Genomic DNA, 15,812 nt, shown 5'->3' on the forward strand with positions numbered 1-15,812 from the left:
ATCTTCTGACTTGTAGCCACCTGGGACTAAGTAGGCAGGAAATGGCAGGTAGGAAGGCTGCTGCAGGCAATGCTACCCACCCCCCACCTAGAGGACGCCTTGGAGAGCAAAGCTGGCTCTGGCATCCCCAGGCCCATGCCAGCTGGAGTGACCAGACCAGGCAATTTCCACAGAATTCTCTGAATCATTCCCATCCTCTTTCCACCATCAGCTCCCTCCTGTCTTGGCACCTGGTGACCGCAGTGCATGGCGCCAGCTTGGCACTTCCAGGGCTGGCCCCTTCCTAACCCTGCCAGATCAGGTCAGCGAGAGAGCACACGTGGGGCACCTGGCTGCTTCTGCCAACTGGCCTTGTCGCCTAGCTGCACCCTTAGACAGCCAGGACCAAGCAGGGCATCAGCACTCCTGAGAACTGCTGTCCTCTTCACCCTTTTGGCCCCCACTCCCACCCCAGCTACCAGGGGAGAGGATTTTGGAGACCTGACCACTTCCTGGAGCACCAAGTGTCTGTAGGCCACCTTGCAAAACTCAGGACACCCGGAACAGCACACTTGTGCCCGCAGCATAAACAGGGAGAAACCTGTCTTCGCAGGAGGGAACTGTCCTCCATGATTTGGAAGGGCAATGTGAATTCCAACATATACCAGAGACCGAACTAGAGGTGAATAAGCCGAGGCTAGAATATGCAGTTTTAAAAGTTTTTTTTCTATAGAAAAATGTAAGTTAGCTAAATGCAACAAAAGATTTTCCGCGGGTTCAGGAGGTCAAGCAGATGTAGACAAGCTCAGGGGAGTTATTTATGTCAAGTTGGGTTATTGTAAAGGCGAGAGAGAGAATCGCCCAGGCGGCTTAGGCAGCCAGTGGGCCAGTGGGCCTGCGCGCCGGGGTCAGGATGGCAGGGCAGTGTGTCCATCCTGGCGGGACAGTAATTGCCCCGGGTCTGACACGACGCCGGGGGCTCAGGGCGCCTCCATCCATCTCCATCCAGTTAGCGACGCGCCCCCCGACCGGGCGGGTGGCCGGGCTTGGGCCTCAGCTCCGAATAATGAGAACAATTGTCTCCCCGCCTGGCATAGCCCTCCGCCGCTCCTCCGGGTTCGCTGCCCCTCTCATTTCTCTAGCCCTGCTTGTTTCCCAACCTTGGCGATGGGGATCGGGTGGGAGGTCAGCTCCAGATCCAGTGGCCCTGAGCTCAGAGAGCAGCGAAGTCAGGGTGCCCCGGGAGGAGATCAAAGCCTCGGCCCCCACTGCCCTCCGCTCTGCCTCTGCCAGCGACTAACTTACCTCTTTTTCCACCTGCCCAGCGAATCCAGCTGCCCGGCCTTCCCCTCCCATCCAAGAACCCCCGGCTCCTGCCTCTAGAATTTTCCACCAGCGCTGGGGGCTGGTAAAGATTCTGCCCCCCTCTGACAATTTAATAGTCCCAAGTCATCATCTGCGTGACACTGGCCATCCATCTTCTCCCAGGGGAGGACAAAGCGGGGCCTCCCGGACTCCAGGCCTCTCCCTCCCCAGCTCTTTCTATTTTGGGACAGCCTCACCACAATGGCGTCCTTATAAACCATAATGGCGATGTTTATGAAGGCCGCAATACCAGTGTATGAAGACAATTTTATGCCTAATTAGAAAATGATGTAACTCGAGAGAAGACAAAGGAAAGCTGTCCCCCTCCCGTTTCTCTCTCTTCAATCACACCCCCTCCCCACATTTCCTAGGGCCGGACCCCTTGTGAGTGCTTAAGGCTGAAGGACTCTGTTTTGACAGTAGCTGGGCTCCCCGCGCCCCGCTGGCCCTGGCCGCGCGACAGGAGGCTGCAGGCACGTCCTGCGGCTCCGGGGCGAAGGCTAGGGAAGGGGATAGAGGGAGGTCGCTGCGGGGAGGGGGACAGAGGCAGGCACAGAGTCCTAAAGAGATTTGAGACTCGCGCTCCTGCACTTTCTATCCCACGCGCCCCCATCCGAGGGGACCTCACCCCTGGGAAGACTCCAATAAATGCAACCCGGCGCCACTCGATTCCGGGATAATTTTTAATATATATGCAATAAATGTTCACTTTGTTAGATTGAATGACAGACAATAATATCGGCAAATCTTCATATCCATCCATTACCAGCAAATGAGCCGCACAAAGGACAGATTTGCTTTTGATTAATTTATTTGCAGACTCGGGTTGATAAAGCAATAACTATTTGGTTAAACTTGACATTTGGTCTTCAGGGGGTTATCAGACAAATCTCTGTCGCCCAGAAGAGATAATAAAGCTGTTTAAAGGGGATTAATTATTAATTGGCTGCAATTAATTTCCCCCCTTTTCTCGGCTGCTGCCACAATTCGCATCCCTCACCCACAAACAAAAGACAGAAGTTTGCCCTCCTCCCCACCCACTGACCTGGGGCGACGAGGGGATCCCCAAAGCCCTGAGTGAAGACGTGATCTCTTGCACCCCGGTTATTCCAGTGCAGACTATTTTAATGAACCCTTGGCAAAACCTGTCCATGTCTGTCCCCGGCAGCTTTTCTGGAGTCGAGGGTGCGATTAAGCATCAATCTGAGGGTCGTGGATTCGGAGCTGAATTTCTAGTCTCAATATTTTTGGTTGTAAGGACATCAGCTCACACCCGTTGTTATGTCTAAATCCACACTCCCCAACTTGTTTTCTTGGGGCAGCAGTTTGGGGGCTGAGCTGGAACCTGGGTGTGAGAGTATCACAAGCCCGCCCTACTGATCACGCGGAGAGGATTCCTTCTTCCCCTCTTTACTCCGCGCCCTGCCGCGGAAACCCTTCCCGTGGCCTCGAACTGGTCCCCGACGACTGCGGGGTACGCGGGGCCCAAAGCCAGACTCTACTCCCGCGCAGATGCGGGAAGACTCCAGGCTGTGCTTGAGCTGTTTTACTGGGCCTGGCCGAGGAATAAGCGAGCCTCAGCATGCTTGGGCCAGAGCGAGAAGCATCTTCATGACCCTGGGGTGCCCCTTCCTTTACTAATAACCTGTCAAGACTTTAAAGAACACATACTGAGACTAAAGCCCACCAAGCCTGCCTGGCCACAGCGCAGGCTGCCTCGGCCTCTCCGACATCCACCCGCTTCCAGGGACCTGTACGCTTTCCTTGGGTGCGAACTCGAGTCCAGGACCGGCAGGGTTCTCGCCTTAATCTGTACCACCGTCCCGTAAATCTGTCGCTCAGCCCATAGCCGGCCTTTGATCTCCAAGCGGAGCAGCTGGACAGGTGTCGAACTGCACTTCCCTTCCCGCTCTGAGCCACCGAACAAACTTGGCCATGCCCGGAAAGGATTCCCGTGCTCAGGGAACCTGGGGCACAGGAGAGGGTGGATAGGCGCGAATAAGCGGGCTCCAAAAAGTGGTGTGGCTTGGCAATCCTATTCGTTCTTGGCGGGCAGAAAATTCAGTGCGAATAATCTCCAAATACCCTGGTTGGAGAAAAGATAACTTGTAGAAAGAATGTGACGGGGATGGCCAGGTCAGATAACAAGCTCGGGTGTTAGTGAGCGTAATCTGACCGCAGAAAAGCTGATGGGAAACCTGGGCTTCGCGCCGCGTCCCGCTTTTCCTACTTTCCCATTCCATTCCCATCTCCCTTCCCTTTCCTTCCCTTCTCTACCTTATCCTCCATTCCCTTCCCTTCCCTTCCTAGGCATTTAAATAAGAACAAAGATTACACCCACAAAAAGAACCTTGCCTAGGAGCGCGTGGAAACAGCAAGGGCGCCCGAGCGGGAGAGGTTCCCTCGGTGAGGGGGTCCGCGCAGCGGCGGACCCCGCACCCCGGCCCCCAACGGCGCCTAGGAAGTTGTCACTCCTCTCATTTAAAGCCTCAGAAAAATGCATTCATGAGATTGTTTCTTTATTTTTCCTTTCTGCCCCTCTCCGCATTCTTTGCCTATTTGCTTTACGGCTTTTCAGCCTTGTTGAGGCCAAGAAAAGAAACCAGGTTCTTTTCTCTTGCGATTGGATCCGTATTCCCAGTTAGGGCGCCTTTTGATGTCCCCATTTAGCGCCTTTGACTGGTCAGCTGAATGGGGCCGCCTGCTTTTGTCCTTTCCCACAAGTCCCTTCAGAAAGATCCCTTTAAACGCCCGGTACCCGCTGATGGATCCGTTTTCAAACGGCGCGGGGACGGCAGTGCCGGAGGCCGCGTCTCCTTAGTAATCGCGCGGGCAGGGCTCGGCAAGGGGTCGCTGCAAGGGTCGCGCTCACCCGCCCCGGGTTTGGGCGCTGGGGGTGGGGAAGGGAGAGAAGGTTCGAACAGTTTTGTCTCTCCCGCGCCCCGGCTCCCCCAGGGTGCTGCGCCTCCAGCCGCCCCGAGGCGCTTCCCCCGGCGTCCGCGCGCTCCTCTCCGCAGGGGTCTCGCGCCCACGGTGCCGCAGCCGCGCGGCTCAGCCGCCCTCCGCACCCGCGCCTTTCCAGCGCCCGGGTTCCCAAACCATCGCTAAAGGCGGACGGGGGGCGCCAGGAGTAACGGCTGCTCCCCGGAGACCCCACCGAGCCCAGCGCCCGCCCCCGCCCCCTGGGCGCCCTGCCCCATTTTCTCCCTTTCCCAACTATCCCAGACCCCCAGAAGGGCCAGAATTTTCCAGAACTGTCCCACTCCACCCGCGCCCAGGGCTTCTGCACATTGCCCTTGGCAGGACGCGAGCCGGTCGAGGGGCATTTAGGGGTGGCCCTGCACGGCCCTCACTGCTGTCCCTTCTTCTCCCTCCGTTCTCCGGGCCAGGGTCCTCGGAGACCCCGTTCCGCGGCAAGTACCCCTCCCCCACCCCCGGAGGCGGGTGCAGTGCAGGGCGGGGGCGGCGGTCGCAGCGGCTCAGAAGCCGACCCTCCTTGAACCCGAAGCTGCCCTGGCCCGAGTATCCGCACTGGCCTGGGCCCGAGCGAGGCTGCAACCCTGTGAAACCCCCTGCAAGGCGGAAGCCTCCAAACCCAAACGACCCCGAGGGCGATTCCGCCAGAAATCCAACGCGGGCCCAAATAAAGTCCGAGGCCTTTTTGTCGGAAGCCCGGGAGGTGCCCGGCCAAGGTGTCCCCTGCCCGGCCAAGGTGGGGGCTCGAACCCTGAGCGGCCGCGCCGGCTACTTACGTTGAAGGTGCGCGCATTCCAGACGGCTCTGACCTGCCTCCGCCGGTCTCGATTATTTTATACATTTCTCGGCGATACACTTATAAACAAGTGGAAATTTTGCATCCTACTGCACCATTTTATACATGATGAGCCGTCAGTAATAGGATTATTAAACAAAAACCGTCTCAGGCGCTGGCGTTAACCTTTTTTAAAATGGCTAATTAGGTTTTGGACAGAAAAATTAGATTTAACATTGCTTACATTGCCTACATTTTCAGTTGATGCTCCGGTAATTTCGGATAGGCCGGGCTGCCGCCAAACAAAGAGATAATAAAAAATTAACTATTTTAACATATATTACAGATCTCCTATACCAAAATAAGGCAAAGAATATTTTCATGATCAAATATTATATACATAAAACTAATTATCTTTTTTCGGCAGCCTCCATCAATTACCGGGGAGGGAGGGAGCGCGGGGCGGCGCGCGCCCTCTGCTGGAGCGCGCGGGGAGCAGGCCGGGCCCTCCCGGTGTGGTTAAATGAATGGTAACACGCATGGCTCGTCCGCCTCTCTGCTTCCTCTAGACATCCTTTGGCTGTTTTCATCGCTCGTGTTTATTTCCTACTACCATCAAGAGTAGTAGCTCGTGACAGCCTTAAGCATCTCGGTAAAAATAAGGTGCCTACTAAATTAAAATGTTTCCCTACCAGCGATTTTACGGGCGACATGGAAAGTCAGGTGTCCAAACACGTAAGGCCCTGGTTTTGCCATGTAAAGCCAGCCTGGTTTTGACAGAAAGGCCCATCGCCGAGTTTATCTGGGCCTTTTATTTACACAGACTTCAGTGCCGTGCCAAAAATAAAAATAAAACAAACAACAACAACAACAAAAACCACATATCCAGTAGGCTAGATACTATATAGAGAGTATTCCCACGTTGTCTCAGATTAATTTAAAGAAATCCTAAAAGGGCGTCTTTGAGGCGTTTGCTGGACTCACAGGAGCGGAACCAGGTTTCCAAATGGTATTGTTTACAACAATACTCAATACTGCGCTCCTGCTCTTTGCCTAGAGGTAAACGTGTCCCCGAGGCCAGATGTTCTTCTATTGTGCACAGGCCCATTGACTTGGAGCCTTGCTTTAGGGATAGGATCTCCGTTTTACTCAGAAGGGTTGGAGGGTGAAGGTGTCCTCTCCTTGGGCTTTGCTCCTATTCACATGAAGCAAACAGCTGTGGGACGGTGGAGAAAGAGCAATTAGGGAGAAGGATATTTATAATCCCTTAAAGGGGCAAAATAGAATAAGAGACCCAAAAGAGATTATTTGAGGTGTTAAAGGTAAAAAAAAAAAATCAAATAAATAGAGGCTACAGAACTGCCTATAATAAAAATTATTTTAGAAGAGCTTAAGTCCCTGTCCCATACTTGTATATAACACTGCTACAGTTATAAACCATAGCAATCTCTTTTGAATGAATGACGAGTTCAGACCAAGGGCCTTTTATTCAGTTTACCCAGTTTCATTATTGTAGTTCATCATTCTTTAAATCCTTCAAGCCAGTCTTACAAATAAGCACAAAAAATGAAAAATTACCAGCCCTGAAATGTTTTATTAGTTTGCGTCTCCCCAAGGCTACATAATGTTATGCAAGTGAAAGACCATGAAATCAATAAAATCTCCTAGTTTTCTGCTGGCCAGTCCGAATGGCTATTGGCCTTGAGCACAAAAGTCCACAAGGACTGGTAAGGTCGATTTTGTGCTATTTTGGTCTCCACGGGCTGAATTTCAAAATTCAACAGGAAGCACTAGCAGATAGCAGATCCTTGGGCTTCGGATTTATTTGTTTCTCTTGTTTTACAGAAAGACCAGCCTCAGTGACAGTCACACTGTATGGAACAGATTCAACTGGCCCACTCTTTTTTAATAAATAAATGACATTAAAGAGTCTGGCAGTTCTGGGAGGCAGGGTTTTATGAGCTAATCACACCCCTGGGGGGAATTTGGTAGTGTGTAGTATAGTCTCACCCTGGGGGTGTGATTACCCTATGGTAGCCACACCCACCCATCATGCTTTATTTCTTAACCAATAAATCACTACAAATGATGTGATCTGCACAGCCATATATCTCAGGCCCCTCCTTGCACACACAAGCAGCCCCTGCTGGTGAAACCAGTGGAGCAAAGTGATGCTCCCTGAATGGACATATCCCATCCTGCCCTTTGTGATAAAAATTTTAAAACAAGGGTGTGTCTTAGGTCTGCCTATTTTTTCCTTTCTTCTATTGAGACATTAAAAAGGGACCCTGAGTTCCTCTTGCCACTCATGTTCCCATCCCTTTGATTTCCCCCAGAAGAGTGCCCAGCTTGGCATTTGGTTGTATTTAGTTGGGCTCCTGCTAGATTGAAACATGAGTTTTTCCTGGGAATTCTGGTTATTTGTGATCCTTGGGTGAGCAAGGCGCAGGCTTTTGTATTGTAGCTCTTTATCAGGGCATTGCTGGGACTGGCGCACGTGCTCTTAAAGGTCTCTTCGGATAATCAGTGTCACTCCCATTGTAGTTGGATTCCTCCAGCCTCGTTTTCTTTCCCTCCCCATGTTCCATCTTCCTCAGTAAAGCATTCATTTGCTTTAACTTCACCTAGTCTAATTGACAGGATCCATTGTCATCTGCCTAAAACTTTTGTTCTTCTCGTCTTTATCCCTCTGAAGTGAGAATGCTATGCCCCCTCCAACCTTTTTTTTTTTTTTAAGATTTTTCTAGCTGATCGCATACAAGGCAGCACTCTGCATAAAAAGGCAATGGCTAACCCAAGACAGAGTAACTTACAGACCCCAGAAGCCGAGCAGGAGCTGCACTACAACCTGAAAAAGGGCCCACACATTTGAGGCCTGGCACAGGGCAAGGAAACATACCTATGAGGCGACAGAGTAGAGTTTTCTTGTTGGGTTTTGGGAAGAAATAAATATTTTTTGAACAGTGACATAACTTGGACTTCTCCCACTTGAGACAAAACTTGAGAACTTGCTGCCAGATCTGGGGGAGAAATTACATTAAGGAGGAGGATTCCACCTCCAATATCAGCCCTGAAAAGAAGTGAGAATCCTGCCAGCATTCGCAGCCTGGACATCTGGAAAACTTCACTGTTCTGACCAGAGCTTGCCACTCTAATCCTCTGATCTCTTGACAGTGGTTCTGATCCCACTGCCAGCAAGAAACAGTGCCTGCTGCATTTGGGGATGGGGGATAAGGAGAGGGCTTGGTAGACTGTCATTGGAAGATCATGAGAAGAGATCTCCATATTTTATGGTTATCTAGACAATGAATCTGATCTCAATTTATCAGGATTACTTGACCTCAGTGGCATGCATTTTCTCAAAGGTGAGTTTGGAGCTAAGAAGGATATCCATTAGCTTGACTAGTAAAAATATGTTGGTTAATGGATTCTACTAGACATTCACATTCAGATTGATTACTCTGTTATACTCTTATGAAGTACAAAAAATTTACCACCCCTTCTCCGCCTCAGAAGCACACATCTGTGTTCAATAGCAATCACTATCAAGGAAGTTTCATTTGAGAGTTGCCTGGAATGCCAATTGATTCTTTTTTTTTTTTCTTTTTTTGAGATGGAGTCTCACTCTTTCACCCAGGCTGGGATACAGTGGTGTGATCTTGGCTCACTGCAACCTCTGCCTCCAGGTTCAAGTACTCTCCTGCCTCAGTCTCCCGAGTAGCTGGGATTACAGGCACTCACCACCACACCCAGCTAATTTTTGTATTTTTAGTAGAGATGGGTTTCACCATGTTGGCCAAGCTGGTCTTGAACTCCTGGCCTCAGGTGATCTGCCTGCCTCGGCCTCCCAAAGTGTTGGGATTACAGGCGTGAGCCACTGAGCCTGGCCAATGCCGATTGATTCTGCCCTATTTCCACAAAGACACGATGCAGTCAACCAGTATACTAGTTCTTTTTTTTTTTGTATCCAGTTTAGGGGGATGATTCATGCTACATGCATCCCCCATGTCTGGAAAAGTGAGCCAATACCTGCATGTCTATTCATTCTCTTTAGATTGACCCCTCCTCAGGCACCTTGTCCCCTAAACCCCTTATATTTTCCTGGCAATCCATCTCTTTGACATCTTCCATTTTTTAAAGTCTTGTTTTTCTGTAATTGGTGGCTCCCTTCTTGGGGCTGACAGTGTTCACGTGTGGCAGCAGAAAGGGTGCTGTGTTTGGAGTTGGGGGAAATGACTTTGAGTTCCAGATTCAGGCATAGTAACTGTGGCTAGAGTGGACGAGGAAGAAATGTCCTACAGAACATTCCGATTTCATTAGACTGCTTTGGGGTCTGAGACTCAGTACTTTTAAAAACTCGCCAGAGCATTCTTATGTGCAATGAAGGTTAAGAGCCTCTGTTCTATACTGATGCATTGAAGGAGCTCTTGGGGTCAGGGACTCTACGAGGCCAGGACCAGAAGAGTGGGAAAGTCAATGGTGGGGCATCCACTTGGGCTTTCACTTCAAAGGGAAAAAACCCTCTTCCTTGTGATACTGCTCAAGCTCATTGTAAATAGTGTCCTGAATGTATGCTGGAAAAGGGAAAACATGCATGAGCTTCAGTCCAGGCTCTAATATTCCTGTTTTGTGACTTTAGACCAGTCACTTTATTTCTCTTGGGCTGCAGTTGTTTAAAATCTCGCAATGTGGAGATGACAATCTCTAGCACACGGGATTGGCATGAGGGTCAAACTAATACTACTACTATTAATAATAACTGCCATTCATTGCATTCTTATTCTGATTCTCAGGCACCCTCCAAGTGCTTTATGTGAATTATCTCATTTAACCCTTGCAAAATTCCATCTAAGGAAGATCTTATGAGGAAACACTGTGTTGAAAAGTCCTTTGTAATTAATAAAACCTTGTGAATGTATGATATCGTGCTCCACATAGTTTTGCAAAACTCCCTTACATATATATTGCCCAAGGGTATATAAATGAAAAGTAGAGACACTAAGATTTATGACTGGCTCTTTTAACACCAAGGTCATTGATCTTTCTACTATACTCCACTGGTTCCTGGATAATTGCAGATTATGTAATAGTATGTTTGAACTCAACTGTTCCTTAGTTCCTTGCTAGGAAAAATCTAATCCACCAAATCGGCTTCACCAAGATGCAAAGAAAGCTCAGAGTTTAAAATGTTTGATTTTATTCTATCATGAAGTATGGTTTCTGTATTCTGGCAGTGGGATGTATCTATTTTAAGGCTAAATGTCATTTCTTGGCATATGAAACAGTCATTTATTTATTCGGATGTGAAGTCCTTTAGATTTGCCAAGATAAGGACCAGTAGTCCTGAACTTGGGGATGCATTTCTTAACTGAGAAGCTCATAGTTCTGCTATTACAGCTACTGCTGCTTTCACCACATTTTAGAGGAGGCAGGCATTATAAAATGCCCTTTGATGAACATCTATGTAATTGAAGACTTAATACTCCCTCTGATTGTCACTAGTTCTCTTGCATTTAAATCCTGTTCTGTACAGTGAATTTGGCCTTGGTTCAGTTCACTTCATAGAGTGCCCCCAGGCCCCTCATTTATCTAGATGGCCCTGAGACTGGATTGTAGATTAGTACTACCTTTTGCTTTATTCTGTCTCTTGATTGTCTGTCTACCAGAAGGCAGGAACAAGGACTGGTTCTTCTATGTCATTGTATCTCTATAAAAGTTTTATTGAAACTGAAACTTATTTAAAATGCGTTTTATTTTTAAGTTACAGGTTTTATTTATTCTAGTTATTTCTGTCCTTGGTTTCAATGAGTGGACTGCCCCCTGGTGGACAAGAACTGTCAGCTCACATGAAAGTTAGCATGCTTTTGTAATTTCAGGCCATAGTCTGAATTATTTTTCTTCAATTAATATGAATTATATTCCATGAACAATAAGAATTGAATTCATAATATGTCAAATTCAATAAAAAAACAGAACTCTAAGATTCCTCCAGATATTCTTGGAATACCCTCAATTATGAGGACAGGGCCATAATCTTTGTACAGCAAATTTCCATTTTTCTAGAATGGCTGGGGAATTGTGAATTCTAATTCGGTTATCTTACAGTCGCTGATATAACTTACATAGGCTAATCATTTGCAAAGAATTAGTACACAGTGTGTAATGGAATACATGGACTGCTGAATGTCAATTTCAGTAGTACTTGACAATAATAGTGAACACTTACATAATACTAAGTACATCAGGTACTTAAGTTCATTTAATTTCCCCTTTTCTATGAATAGGTATGGTTACTATTGCTCTTGTGAAGATGAGGCAGCTGAGAACTGTCACACAGCTAGAAAATGATAGAGCTGGAATTTAAACCCAGGTCATGAGTTTCCAGAGAGCATGCACTTCAACCCTATGATAAATGGCCTTGCTTATGAGTTACAGAACATTTTAGGATGTCACAGGATCTCTCTTCTGAGCATTGCTGTTCACCAGTGTAGAAGTTGTAGGGGATTAGAATTAACCCTATGTCAGACCCAACCCCTTTCCCTTTCCACACCTTCCACTACCCTTATCACTGTGACACCTATCAGAGCATTGCACGTATTAAAGGTGCAGTAAATATCTCTTATCTATGAACTTGGATCATTCAAAGCCTTTTTTTTTCCCAGAAAACCTCAGCTCTCAGTTTATTTTTATTCATTTCTTTCTTACAAAATCATGGTGGATCCTACACAACCAAAATATGATTATTTAACTGTTTCGTTCAGGATAATATATAAGATTCTTCACACATGTTAGACTCATATGTGGCATATCCTGACCAAAGCAAGCTTTACCCAACTCAGTAAAGAAGACTATGTATCTGTTTTCATTCTTTTGAGAAAAAGTTTCTTGTTCATGCCAGATGAACCACATCTGCATTTCTGCATATAACATGTTAAAGGGTTTCTTTGACACTGGACTTAATGCAGGTCACTGCTATGGTTTGGATATGGTCTGTCCCTGCCAAAACTCATGTTGAAATTTGATCCCCAATTTCGCAGTGTTGGGAGGTGGGGCCTAGTGGGAGGTATTTAGGTCATAGGGGCAGATCTCTCATACATAGATTAATACTCTCCCCTGAGGAGGTGAGTGAGTCCTTCAGGGAATGGATTAGTTTCCCCAACAGTGGATTGTTAAAAAGCATATGACTTCCTCTGTTTCTCTCTCTTGCTTCCTCTCTTGCCATGCAGTCTCTTTGCACACATACCTGCTCCCCTTCCACTTGCCACAATGAGTTGAAGCAGCTTGAGACCCTCACCAGATACAGCTGCCCAATTTTGAACCTTCCAGCCACAAGAATCATGAATCAAATAAACCTCTTTTCTTTATAAATTATTCATCCTCAGGTATCCTGTTATAGCAACACAAAACAGACTAAGACAGGCACAAAAAATTTTATTGAAAACTGAACTCATAATCTAAGATGAGACCTTTACAACAAACTTGAATATCCTGTGAGTTTACCCTCTCAAAGGTGGCCGGGGAGCATGCCCAGCCCTGCAGTGCTCCTTTTCTGGGTGATCCATGCTGTTCTTGTCCCTAGCAGTTGAGATACTTGCTTCTAGTTTCAAGTCCTTATGGACTTCCTTACTCATCCAGAGCCTGGCTTGCTGGGGCTGCAGCTCTCTGACTCTCCCATCTGACTGCCAAGGTTAATTCATCATCTTTGCAAGAGGCAAACGCTCCCTTTTGATAGGAAGAGCCACTTCCTATTTGGAGAACCAAAATCAGATGTCCTGTTACACAGAAACATGGACTGTTGACATTGCCCATGCCACTTTGTTTAATCACTATGGCTGACACTGTGTGGGTTTCTGTGGCACACTGGTCAGCACACAGTAAGTAGTAATACGTTAAGTTGGCTGTTGAATGTACCTGGGAATACACCATGAGCCAGTTTTGTTTCTGTACAACCATTTTCCTGGGAATCAATGCAGCTCTTGGAAACTGCTTCAGGATAGTACATACAAGCACACACTGCAGCAATGTTTTTGAAGATATGAGAAGGAGGAAGATGTGCCAGTGGTTCAAGAAACATAACATGGTTTTAAAATACAGCCTAATGTGTTTAGTAACACAGGTGTGCTACTTTGTCTTAAAATTAAATATTAACATGGCCAGAAATCTTCCTGTTTATTCCTGCTTCTAATAAAGCTAACTTTATGTGGTGTTTGGTTGGTTTTAATAAATCTAGACCACAGAAAGAAAAACACTTCATCTGACAATACAACTTTAAAGCACCCTATTTTAGATACCTACAAAACGAAATTCTCATAATTATCAAGCTTCAACTATCAACATAATTAACATGGGCTTTAATTAAGTTTCTTTTTTTTTCCCCACTAAAAAAAGAAAAAGAAAACTTACCATCTGCATTCACCCAGAAGCACATGCATGGTTGAAATCAGACCGTCTGGGTGTTTTGGACACAAAAGAAACCTTTGACCACTCTGATTTGAGCATATGAGTGTCAAGAACCCCCAGAACAGAGCCAATCCAAAACGCGCTACAGTGTTTCTATTCAGAGGCCATCAATGTGCCTCTTTAACGGTTTTTCAGAATCCCAGGAAATTGTGATTACATGGCATTAGCTTTTCATTTTCTGAAGAATGGATGAAAAGCATGAAAGTCCTCTTGACAATGTGAAGAAAAGTATTTTTGGTTCTGGTATACTTCTGCTGTTTTCTGATAAACACTACACAGAAAATGCCTTTAAGATACCACACAATTATACATACAATTGTAGCTCAGTGGTGCCCGTGCTAGAGAGACTACAACCTTATCCAGGGAGAAAAAGACCCCCAAATGGCAATTGTTCTCAGTGAACAGTCACTTAGTCAAGGATGGTATTCATTCTAGCAATATCATGAATTTATTTTCCTTTCTCTGTGAGATGCTCTTATGTTACCATGGAAGTAATCTTAATTCAGCATTTTTTTGGGCAAGGTGGGGGTTGGCGGGGGTGATATTTCCAAGTAAATAACCGTAGGTTTTGACTGGAAATTTACTTCATTTGGCTGATTCTGTACTTGCTATATTGAAGAAGAAAGTACTTAATAGTCCATTGTGTGTACAAATTGTGAAAATAACATTGGTCTGGTTATATTACATGTGGACCAATAGTATTTACCAAATATCAATAAAAAGCACAAAGATTGGACCAGATTGTCAGTGGATTCTAAGAATATTTATGCAAACCCTAAGATTCCTGCAAGATTCAGGTAAGAAACCAAAGTAGAAATCATGGAATATTTTATGGCAAGATAAGGATTGAGGCTATCACCACTCACGCTATTATCCATTAACTGTATTGCAAGCTCATCAAATGATATTTAAGTCTCAGCAGAGACCTCAAAGGCTCTAAGCGTGTGCTTTTTGAATTTTAATGGTGTAAGAATTGCTTGGATAGGTGTTTATAAAAGATTCAGATTCTCAGATTTCCCTCAGAGATCATTTTATTATATCTAGAGTGGGGCCCAGAAGCCCGCATCTGAAAAAATATACCAGATGATTCTGCAGCAATGGTCTATGTCGCTGTGTCACCCAGGCTGGAGTGTAGTGGCATGCCCACAGCTCACTGCAGCCTTGACCTCCTGGGCTCAAGCAATCCTTCCACCTCAGCCTCCCAAGTAGCTGGGACTACAGGCATGCAGCACCATGCCCGGCTGATTTTTGTCTTTTTTATAGAGATGGGTTTTCACCATGTTGCCCAGGCTGGTCTCAATCTCCTGGGCTCAAGCGATTTGCCTGCCTCGGCCTCCCAAAGTGCTGGGATTACAGGTGTAAGTCACTGTGCCCAGCCTGTGATTGACTCTTAAAGAAAATTTTTAAAAAGTACAACTATTACATATCAACTAAAAATGAAAAGAAAAATACATTTTAAAAAGAAATATAACTTAGCCCTTTTTAATCCACTTGAAATACCTACCTAACCTTCAGATCGTCCTCATCTGTTGAAGTACTTGTACTCATCTTTTTAAGATTAATTCATCCCCAGGTTTGGATAAATATATATCTTTCCTGTCTCCATAGTAACGTAGTTATAAATGACCACTTCAGTGTCACCTAGCTGGGAGAGCAAAGGAAATGCATTGTGACAAAACCCCCTACCACAGCCATACATATCTTGAAACAACTCAAGTTAGAATGGACTATCATTGACCTTGATATCTGCTTATTTTGCAATGATAGGGAAAATGGTATGTGCTTTTTTTTCTCCCCTCTTCACCCATTTTGTATATCCTAGCTTCTCAAAGTGTGGTCTGTGGACCAGTAGCATCAGTATCACCTGAAAGTTTATTTGAAATACAGAATCTAAGGCCCTGCCCTGACCTACTGAATTACAATCTGCCCTGTGAACAAGATCCCTTGTGATCCCTGAGTATATGAAAGATGGAGGTGGTGAACAACAGCCTTTTTTAGAAAGCAATAAATGAAAGAGTATAGGTTTCCTCACAGCAAAGTTAAGCATGCTGTATGTAACATCAAAATGAACAAGTAAGTTCTATGGACTAAGGTAGACACTTTTCTTTTCCTTCTAAGATCATGTATTTGACACTACTACAAATGATCATTCTGGGCTCTATCCCCAACTTTTGCCCCTGAACCTGGGATAGCCCTGTAACTTGGGCTATCTCAAGATTCTTATTGCCGTGACAGTATTTCACCATGGTTCACTGCT

The 15,812-nt window shown here is 46.2% G+C and overlaps 2 long non-coding RNA genes across 2 annotated transcripts, besides 3 other annotated features; both read right to left on the reverse strand.

Annotated features, from left to right (window-relative positions):
* Positions 1–2,137: 2,137 nt before the first annotated feature.
* On the reverse strand, positions 2,138–5,228 carry LINC00682 (long intergenic non-protein coding RNA 682). The gene is made up of 2 exons (NR_104143.1): positions 5,097–5,228; positions 2,138–3,430 (listed from the first exon to the last, which is right to left on the reverse strand). It is a non-coding gene; the product is annotated as a long intergenic non-protein coding RNA 682 (long non-coding RNA).
* Positions 2,426–3,178: an enhancer, noted in NCBI's record as "H3K4me1 hESC enhancer chr4:41881826-41882578 (GRCh37/hg19 assembly coordinates)". NCBI's record gives its function as "activates a minimal SCP1, AML or CMV promoter by ChIP-STARR-seq in primed H9 embryonic stem cells {active_cell/tissue: H9 hESC(primed)}" and the evidence as "EXISTENCE:reporter gene assay evidence [ECO:0000049][PMID:30033119]".
* Positions 3,931–4,682: an enhancer, noted in NCBI's record as "H3K27ac-H3K4me1 hESC enhancer chr4:41883331-41884082 (GRCh37/hg19 assembly coordinates)". NCBI's record gives its function as "activates a minimal SCP1, AML or CMV promoter by ChIP-STARR-seq in primed H9 embryonic stem cells {active_cell/tissue: H9 hESC(primed)}" and the evidence as "EXISTENCE:reporter gene assay evidence [ECO:0000049][PMID:30033119]".
* Positions 5,486–5,535: a silencer, noted in NCBI's record as "silent region_15389". NCBI's record gives its function as "represses an Ori minimal core promoter by ATAC-STARR-seq in GM12878 lymphoblastoid cells {active_cell/tissue: GM12878}" and the evidence as "EXISTENCE:reporter gene assay evidence [ECO:0000049][PMID:35858748]".
* LOC124900696 (uncharacterized) lies at positions 5,677–13,549 on the reverse strand. Its single transcript, XR_007058105.1, has 2 exons — positions 13,499–13,549; positions 5,677–6,311 (listed from the first exon to the last, which is right to left on the reverse strand). It is a non-coding gene; the product is annotated as an uncharacterized LOC124900696 (long non-coding RNA).
* Between the last annotated feature and the right edge of the window lie 2,263 nt (positions 13,550–15,812).

The sequence above is a fragment of the Homo sapiens genome, chromosome 4 (assembly GCF_000001405.40).
Source record: "Homo sapiens chromosome 4, GRCh38.p14 Primary Assembly".
Classification (NCBI taxonomy): domain Eukaryota; kingdom Metazoa; phylum Chordata; class Mammalia; order Primates; family Hominidae; genus Homo; species Homo sapiens.